Genomic DNA, 8,564 nt, shown 5'->3' with positions numbered 1-8,564 from the left:
GGAATGGGTGTGTACTCCCCAGGATAAGTCCCTCCCCCAAACCGAGAGCCCGGTCATCCATCCCCTCCAGGCCACCTTGGCCGCAGCCTAACCCTGGCCAGAGTGGCTGTTTTTGCTATATGGGCTCTCCTTCCTCCCCTTCTGTTTGCCAGTCTCCAATAAACCAAAGTCCACATCCGGCTTACCCCCCTCAGCTCCCCTTGGCCACAGTTACCCCACCCAGACCAGATGGGTGGAGGGAGGGGCTTCAGAGTAGTTCAGGACTTCCATGAGGGAGATGGTGAGGGAAGGGGGAGCCCTTAAGTGACTCCAATTCAGAGAGAAAGCAGTCTGTCCCCAAGCTGTGTTCCATCAGCACTCCTCCACACAGCCCACCCAGCAGATGTAAAACCACAGGCTCACTGGAGCCCACAGGGCCCTGGAGGACCTTTTCTTCTACAAAAGCCATAAGCTTTCTTTTCTCTCCCCTCTCCCAGGCTGGGATTTACTCAGGTGGCAACACTTCACAGCCCTCCCCATCCCCATTCCAGTACTGTAGTAATTTAAGAGGCAGGCAGTGGGAGTTGAGATTTTAATATCATAAATCGGTGTGGGGCCACACCTCTCACTGCCAGGCCCGTGGGCCTCCTATCTTCATATTGCCTGGAAGGCTGCCTGCAGCCAGGGCTTCCCCCATCCCCTAGGAAGGATCCAGCACCAGCCTGAGAAGGGAGGCAACAGCAGCTAAAGGGGTGGGAGGAGGAGGAGACAGAAGCATGTGCTGCAGGCGCATGTGTGTATGTACTTACATGTGTGAACACATATAAAGTGTCAGGTTTACAGACCCTGGCTCAAGGACAGTCTAGGATGGGAAAGGAGGTAGGGCGAGAAGAAGCACATATTTTCTCCCTGGTGCTTCAGCCTCACCCTATCCAAGGGACAGACATATGGGGTGTGAGAAACCCATCCCCAGGTCCCAGCCTTCAGGACTGGAGTCCTTTTGAGTCTGGTGGAGTCACAGATCCAGTCTTTGGGGGACACTGGGTCTGTCTCCTTTTGAAAGCCCTGGAAAGGTGGGAGGTAAGAAGTAAAGGGAGACAGGTCCCTGCTAGAAGAACTTGACGCCTCGGCCATCGCTGACAGTGATGATCTCGGCCTTGTGCTCCTGCTGTAGGGCCTGCAGAGCCCGCAGTAGAGTGGCTTCATCCAGCCCGTGGAACTCTGAACAGGGAGAGATAGGCAGAGACAATCAGCTCCTGAGGCCCAAGGCCTCTGAGGAGAGTGCTCTGGCTGGAAGCCGAGACCTCCCAGAGGCAGGGTATGCATAAGCCATCTATACTGCTACAGCTGCCATCCACACTTCCCAGGCACTCCTTAGGAGTAAGGGGTGGAAGAAAGCCTGAATCAGCATGAAATGAGTTTGTGCTTATTTCCCCCTTCTTGGTTCTCCTCTCAGACTCAGCCTCCCCCACACCTAGCATTTGTGTCTGATGCACGAGAATGACACCATCTGCTTCAGGGCCACAAAGGGGCCGTGAAAATCAGGCCTAGGGAGATCGGAGCCATTGTCACTAGACACTGACCCTAGAGGATCTATCCTAACACAAAGAATATAGCCAGTACCCCTGGCCAGGAGACTGTTAAACTCCAGCACTATTATCTGCCCTTTTTCTAGCTTTTAGCTGGGAGCACAGGCCAGGCGCGGTGGCTCACGCCTGTAATCCCAGAACTTTGGAAGGCTGAGGTGGGAGGGTCACTTGAGATCAGGAGTTCTAGACCACCCTGGCCAACATGGAGAAACCCTGTCTCTACTAAAATTACAAAAAATTAGCTGGGCATGGTGGTGGTCACTTGTAATCCCAGCTACTCAGGAGGCTGAGGCAGAAGAATCACTTGAACCCGGGAGGTGGAGGTTGCAGTGTCAAGATCGTGCAACTGCACTCCAGCTTGGGGGACAGAGCAAGACTTTGTCTCAAAAAAAAAACCAAAAAAATTGGGGAGCCTATGGCTAGCTGAGTATGTGGAGATATGGTAAGATACTGCAGGGAGATGTGGGAGGCAGCAGGCAAGCCCTGACAGGCTTGCTTACCTCACCCCCTGTGGGGGCTCAGCTAAGTCAGGGAGCTTGCTTTCTGAGGAAACCTACAACTTTGCCCAACCTGAGTGGTGGGCTAGGCAAGGCTACAGTGCTGAAATCATGGGGTGATGGTGGGAGTAGCAAGCAGAGACCTGCAGGGCAGCAGGGGGAACAGCCAAGAGCTATAAACTCTGCTAGGGCAGCCAGGGCCTGGCAGAAAGGGGAGACACCCTCTGTTATCCCAGCTAAGATCGAAACTTGTGGTGATCCAGAGGATCAGAATCTGGAGTCGGAGAAAAAGAACTAAGAGTGTTTACGCTATGTAAAAATCAAACACTATACAAATCCTTGCCTGGCCAGAAACCAAAGTATATAAATGGGCTGGGGGTGTTGGCCTAATCTCTTCAGCTGACACCCACAGATCTTGAGCCCTCTATAAGAATAAAGGGTGAAAGAGAGCCTGAGTCAGCAAGGAATGAGATTTCAAGCTTAATCCCCTGCCCTTGTTTCTCATTCGGCATCTATAGCAGATGCTGAATGAAGAAAGTTATTTATAATTTTTTTTATTGTTATTATTTTTATTTTCTGAGACGGAGTCTCGCTCTGTCATCCAGACTAGAGTGCAGTGGTGCGATCTTGGCTTACTGCAACCTCTGCCTTCGGGTTCAAGCGATCCTCCTGCTGCAGCCTCCCAAGTAGCTCAGATTACAAGCATGCACCACCATGCCCGGCTAATTTTTGTATTTTTAGTAGAGACGGGGTTTCACTATGTTGGCCAGGCTGGTCTGGAACTCCTGACCTCAGGTGACCCACCTGCCTCGGCCTCCCAAAGTGCTGGGATTACAGGCGTGAGCCACTGCACCCGGCCTATTGTTATTTTTTAAGATAGCATCTCGCTCTGTTGCCCAGGCTGGAGTGCAGTGGCGTGATCATAGCTCACTGCAGCCTTGACCTCCTGGGCTCAAGTGATCCTCCCACCTAAGCCTTCTGAGTAACTGAGACTACTGGTGCACAGCACCATGCCCAGCTGATTTTTAAATTTTTTGTAGAGACAGGATCTCCCTGTGTTGCCCAGGCTGGTCTCAAACTCCTGACCTCAAGCAATCCTCCCACCTTAGCCTCCCAAAGTGCTAGGATTACAGGCACGAGCCACTGTGCCCAGCTGAAAGTGAAATTCTTAACTTTTCATGGGTCATAGATGCCCTTGGAAATCTTGTAATATCTAATCTATCCCTAGAAAAATGCACATGCATCCACAAAAACAAAATTTGGGATTTTTTGCATGTGAATTCAGGTGGCTTATGGAATCCTTGGACATGGGTTAAGAACTTAGAATCGCTTGAACATAGGAGGCGGAGGTTGCAGTGAGCAGAGACTGCGCCACTGCACTCCAGCCTGGGATACAGTGACTCTGTCTCAAAAAAAAAAAAAAAAAAACAGGCGGGGCACAGTGGCTCACGCCTCTAATCCCAGCACTTTGGGAGGCCAAGGCAGGCGGATCACGAGGTTAGGAGTTTAAGAACAACCTGGCTAACATGGTGAAACCCCATCTCTACTAAAAATACAAAAAATTAGCCAGGCGTGGTGGCGCACACCTGTAATCCCAGCTACTCAGGAAGCTGAGGCAGGAGAATCGCTTCAACCTAGGAGGCGGAGGTTGCAGTGAGCCGAGATTGCAACATTGCACTCCAGCCTGGGTGACAGAGCAAGACTCCATATCGGAAAAACAAAACAAAACAAAACAAAAAATTAACTATGAGTGGGAAGGGAAAGGCATTACCCTCATCCTCTGTGTCTTCCCCATTAGTCAGTTCATACAGGGTAAAGACGGAGTTGTTCTGGCCACTCCTGGAAACCTGTGAATACAGAAAATGAGGAGTGAATTAGAACCAAGAATCTCCTGGGAGACAGTAAATTCATCAGCTCCACCCCTCTGATCCAGGAATGATACCTATTCCCAAACCAGGACTCACTGTCGCCTCTGCAGAGTGGCCTAAAAGCCATAAACCCTACAAGTGCTATATTTATATGTGTACACACTCATTTGGAACCACTAAACCACAGGTCTTCACGTGTCTGAGGAGTGACCTTGACCTCTCATTCTGGTTGTTTTCCTGTTCAAGAATGGATGGTGTGTATTTGTTATATTTAGAATGTTGATGCTTCTTACCCTCTTCTCTTCCTTGGGAATGTTTGGGACTGGTGGTTTAGGGGGAAGAGTATTCTGTCCCCACACCCACACTGATTCAGAATATCTCATTCATGTTGTGGACAGTCCCATAACAGTGCAGTGGGGGAGGGGCCCCAGGTTTTTTCCCTTCCTTTCCCCATTTATCTCCTGTGGCCAGAGGCTCCAGCCAACAATAGCACTCAGGGTTCCCAGTTCTGCATTCTCCAAATATGGCCTCACATAGCCCCCGGCCTCCTACAGGCAAAGAAAGGGAGGTTCTATGCAGCCAAAGACATTGAGTCACTTAAAGAGGTTTCCCTAGAAGGCCTACACTTCCTCTTTCTGCCCCCTCCCCATTTTGCTCAGTCTGGATCTGGGAACACCGGCTATCTGCTAGGCCCTAATATAGTTAACCTTTTCCATGGGTCACTGTTGAATACTTGGCAGAATAATGATCTCACCCACTGATAGATGAGTTTCCCCCATTCTTCTGGCCTCCGCCACATGATCAGGAAGCTGGACTTGCTCTTATCCAACCACTCGAGGTTCCCTGTAAAACAGATACTTATGAAAGCATAACCAGGCGCGCAGTGGCTTACACTTTGGGAGGCCAAGGCGGGAGGACTGCTTGAGCCCAGGAGTTCGAAACTAGCCTGGGCAACATGATGAGACCCTACAGAAAATACAAAAAAATTCTCTCTATAGAAAATACAAAAAATTAGCCAGGTGTGTGGTGACACATGCCTGAGGTCTCAACTACTCAGGAGGCTGAGATGGGAGGATCACTTGAGCCTGGGAGTCGAGGCTGCAGTGAGATAGGACTGAGCCACTGCACTCCAGCCTGGATGACAGAGTGAGACCTTATCTCCCCACCCAAAAAAAAAGTATCATGAACTAAAAAGAAACAAAGAGGCAAAAAAATACCAAGGTGGGACAGAGTGGAAGAGACTCAGCTTTCAGAAAGAAAGATTCAATATTTATTTTACTATTATTATCTACAAGGCACTCATCCTTCTTCCACTTCTCTTCAGGTTTAGGGCACAGACAGAGATTTCAATTTTGTGTACAAAGAAGAAAGGACTTGGGAATTGGGCTGCCTACTTTACAGAAGACTCTGGCCTTCAAGCCAGGAGAGAGAAAAAGTTATTAAAGGGAAAAAGACTTATCCTAATTTGCCCTCAGGAAAACCCAACTAGGAAGAAAAATAAGGAATCTGGGGAACTGAACCCACCTTTCTTCCTCAGTTCCTCTAATACAATCTGGATCGACTCCACAGGAAGCTTTCCTGGTTTAAGGTTAAGGGAACGGCATACACATGAGTTGGGTAGGATAAAAATTTTCAGAGCCAGTCCCATGTTGAGAAACACCTGCCCCTTCCTCTCCCACACACATATGTGTGCAATTTCCCAACATGATATGAATTGGCATTTCCTGGATATTCAAAGGAGGAAGGTAAAGAGAAACTCTTCCAATTAAAAGGAGCTTTATGTGATTGTGCCACTGCATTCCAGCCTGAGCAAGAGAGGAAGACCCTGTCTCCAAAAAAAAAAAAAAAAAAGAAAGAAAGAAGCTTTAGAAAATGAAAGGTACTGTCATTCCTCACCCTCTGTCTGTTGCCTTCCTTCAGCCTTTCTCCACAGATATTTTAGGGATGAATCAGGCAGCAAAAACAAATGACCCTTACTTCCTGGCAGGAGGGGGGCAGAGAAAATAATTAAAGGTAGTTACCCAAGTCTGGGCCTCACACAGAAAAGGATGGAAGATACAAATAGTCAAAAGGGTTTAGGTTAAAAAACTTGGAACTTGGCTTCAGGGCAGAAATTCTAAGACCTTAATGACATCCGAGCAGTCATCACTGCCAAGAACAAGAGGGTATGGTACTGCATTTGCCAGGGGAAAATGTCAGCTACACATTTTCACTCTTTAAGTCCAGTTTGGGTGGGAATCTGCCTACCATGGGTAAAAGGGGGCTGGCGCGGGGGGGCGTCTGGGCATGTGTGAAAGCGCAGAAGTGCATGTGTATGGGCTGTGGAAGAGCCTGAGGGAGGATACGCTGTAGCTTGACGTTGTTGAAGAGCGGGCTCTCCTGAGCTTCCATCACCGTCATGCTGGACTGTTTGTGCAGGCGGCAGAAGGACAGGACCAGCGAGCACCAGGCGGCCAGCTGCTTCTGCCGAGTGTCCACATTCGGTTGTAACCTGCCGGGTGAAGGGAGTGGGGCGCAGAATTAGAGGGCGGGAGGCAGCACTTGCCCGGGACGCATTTCAGGAAGAAAGTAAGGGACTGAGGGTGTTGGCCGACGGGTCTTTTCTCCCCCTCCCCATATGAAGCATCAGGGCTGAGCCCAGGGTCCGGGGGAGGGGAGGGAGGCACAGCGGTGCTTCTTGGGGTCTGAGCCTCACGTAAAGAAGGGTGGGAAGCGATACTGCCACGGCCACTCGAAACTCATCGCCATCGTAGTAGCCCAGGAAACCCGGAAGCTACCGGCTAAGGACTTCCGGCCTTCGCTTCCGCACGTCCGGGCAGAAGGCAATGCAGAAAGGTTCCGGAAGCCTTTCTGGAAAGAGAGAGACCGGCAGGAGGAGTCCTCGTCATGACCCAGTCCCTCGCTGTTATCCTAAAAAGCCCTATCTTTTGGAGCAGGAAGAGTCCTGGGAAGTCTTCTGGTTCAACCCCAGAGAAAGGTCATGTCTTCCCCAAAGCGGCGAATTTTTGTTGCTGAAGTAGAACGGCAAATAAAGCCCAGATCTCCAGATCCCAGCCTACCTTTGTTTCCTCTATACTAGGCTTCTTTTAATATTAACATTTCTGTGAATTGCCATTTAATTTGATCAACTCACAATTACCCAAGCTCAATTCCAATGTCCTTTGTTTTATTTTTAATTTTTTATTTATTTATCTGTTTATTTATTTTTGAGAAAGGTCTCCCTTTGTTGCCCAGGCTGGAATACAGTGGCACAATCACAGCTCACTGCAGCCTCTACCTCCTGAGATCTGGCGACCGTCCGGCTTCAGCCTCCTGAGTAGCTGGGACTACAGGTGCACACCACCGCACCCAGTTATTAAATACATTTTGTTGTTGTTTTGGTACAGATGGGCGTCTCACCAAACTCCTGGGCTCAAGTGATCCTCCTGCCTCGACCTCCCAAAGTGCTGGGACTACAGGAGTGAGTTAACGCTCCCAGCAACCCGGCTAATATTTTCTAGAGATGGGCACTCACTATGTTGGCCCAGGTTGGTCTCAAACTCCTGGGCTCAAGCGATCTCCAGACCTCAGCCTCCCAAAGGGATAACAGGTGACCAACCCGGCCCTCCAATTTCCTTTGACTTCACCATTCCTCAGGCTCCTGCAGCACCCATGGGAGCACACTTTGTAGCTTGAATCACTAGAGACAGCCCTACTTCCATGATTCAGAGCTGCAGGCTTTGACCACAACCACCCATCTCTCACCTCTGCCATGACCTCGCCTTTCTTGTCTCAAGACCTAGGACCCCTTTTGGTTTTATCAGACTCCTTACCCAGCCTAAACTACTCAATTCTGTCCCCTTACCTACCTACCTACCTACAGGTCAGTTCCCAAACCAATGATCGTTGCTCCATTTCCCCCACCTCTTTTTTTCACTCCTGGGCTCTGGAGTATTGCTGGAAGAAAAATAACCAGAACATGTTTGCCAAGCCCTAGATTCCCTGACTAGCCTCACTACCGGGCTCTAAGGGCAGCTCTGTGATCCTTTGTCTTTTATTGACTCCGTCACCCTCAAGATAACTATTCAAACTTTTCCACATTCATCAAGGCACTCCACCTGTCCCCATGTCTCTGCTCTCTGCAGAACGCCTTTCATTCCTGCTTTATGAGATTGAGGCCATGCATGTGAACCCTTTAAGTTTTCCCTCTGTCTGTCTCTATACTTGATTCATCGCTCAAAAATTTCTCTCCACTTTTACTCCTTCTTTTTTTTTTTTTTTTTTTTTTTTTGAGACGGAGTCTTGCACTGTTGCCGGGTTGGAGTGCAGTGGCTTGATCTCAGCTCACTGCAACCTCTGCCTCCCTGGTTCAAGCGATTCTCCTGCCTCAGCCTCCCTAGAAGCTGGGATTACAGGCATGAGCTACCACACCCAGCTAATTTTTGTATTTTTAGTAGAGACGGGGTTTCACCATGTTGGTCAGGCTGGTCTCAAACTCCTGACCTCAAGTGATCCGCCCACCTCGGCCTCCCAAAGTGCTGGGATTACCAACCGCATCCAGCCTACTCCTTCCTTTTGGACTCAGAAGAAGTGTTGCACCCTTTGGCATATGTTCTTGCCTCCCCTTTTCAACTTCCTCCAGGACTTCTCTA

At 49.5% G+C, this 8,564-nt stretch overlaps 1 protein-coding gene across 1 annotated transcript, besides 3 other annotated features; it reads right to left on the bottom strand.

Moving 5' to 3' along the window:
* VPS25 (vacuolar protein sorting 25 homolog) lies at positions 558 to 6,708 on the bottom strand. The gene is made up of 6 exons (NM_032353.4): positions 6,629 to 6,708; positions 6,279 to 6,424; positions 5,458 to 5,511; positions 4,688 to 4,776; positions 3,837 to 3,912; positions 558 to 1,200 (listed from the first exon to the last, which is right to left on the bottom strand). Exons 1-6 carry the CDS (start codon positions 6,679 to 6,681, stop codon positions 1,088 to 1,090), a joined length of 531 nt encoding a protein of 176 aa, NP_115729.1. The 5' UTR covers positions 6,682 to 6,708; the 3' UTR covers positions 558 to 1,087.
* Positions 4,252 to 4,546: an enhancer, noted in NCBI's record as "tiled region #12532; K562 Activating DNase matched - State 5:Enh". NCBI's record gives its function as "activates a minimal TATA promoter and a strong SV40 promoter by Sharpr-MPRA in K562 cells {active_cell/tissue: K562}" and the evidence as "EXISTENCE:reporter gene assay evidence [ECO:0000049][PMID:27701403]".
* Positions 5,986 to 6,533: an enhancer, noted in NCBI's record as "H3K27ac hESC enhancer chr17:40925642-40926189 (GRCh37/hg19 assembly coordinates)". NCBI's record gives its function as "activates a minimal SCP1, AML or CMV promoter by ChIP-STARR-seq in naive H9 embryonic stem cells {active_cell/tissue: H9 hESC(naive)}" and the evidence as "EXISTENCE:reporter gene assay evidence [ECO:0000049][PMID:30033119]".
* Positions 6,617 to 6,816: an enhancer, noted in NCBI's record as "active region_12222". NCBI's record gives its function as "activates an Ori minimal core promoter by ATAC-STARR-seq in GM12878 lymphoblastoid cells {active_cell/tissue: GM12878}" and the evidence as "EXISTENCE:reporter gene assay evidence [ECO:0000049][PMID:35858748]".

Source organism: Homo sapiens, chromosome 17 (genome assembly GCF_000001405.40).
Source record: "Homo sapiens chromosome 17, GRCh38.p14 Primary Assembly".
Taxonomy (NCBI): Eukaryota; Metazoa; Chordata; class Mammalia; order Primates; family Hominidae; genus Homo; species Homo sapiens.
This window is presented reverse-complemented; position numbering and strand designations above follow the sequence as displayed.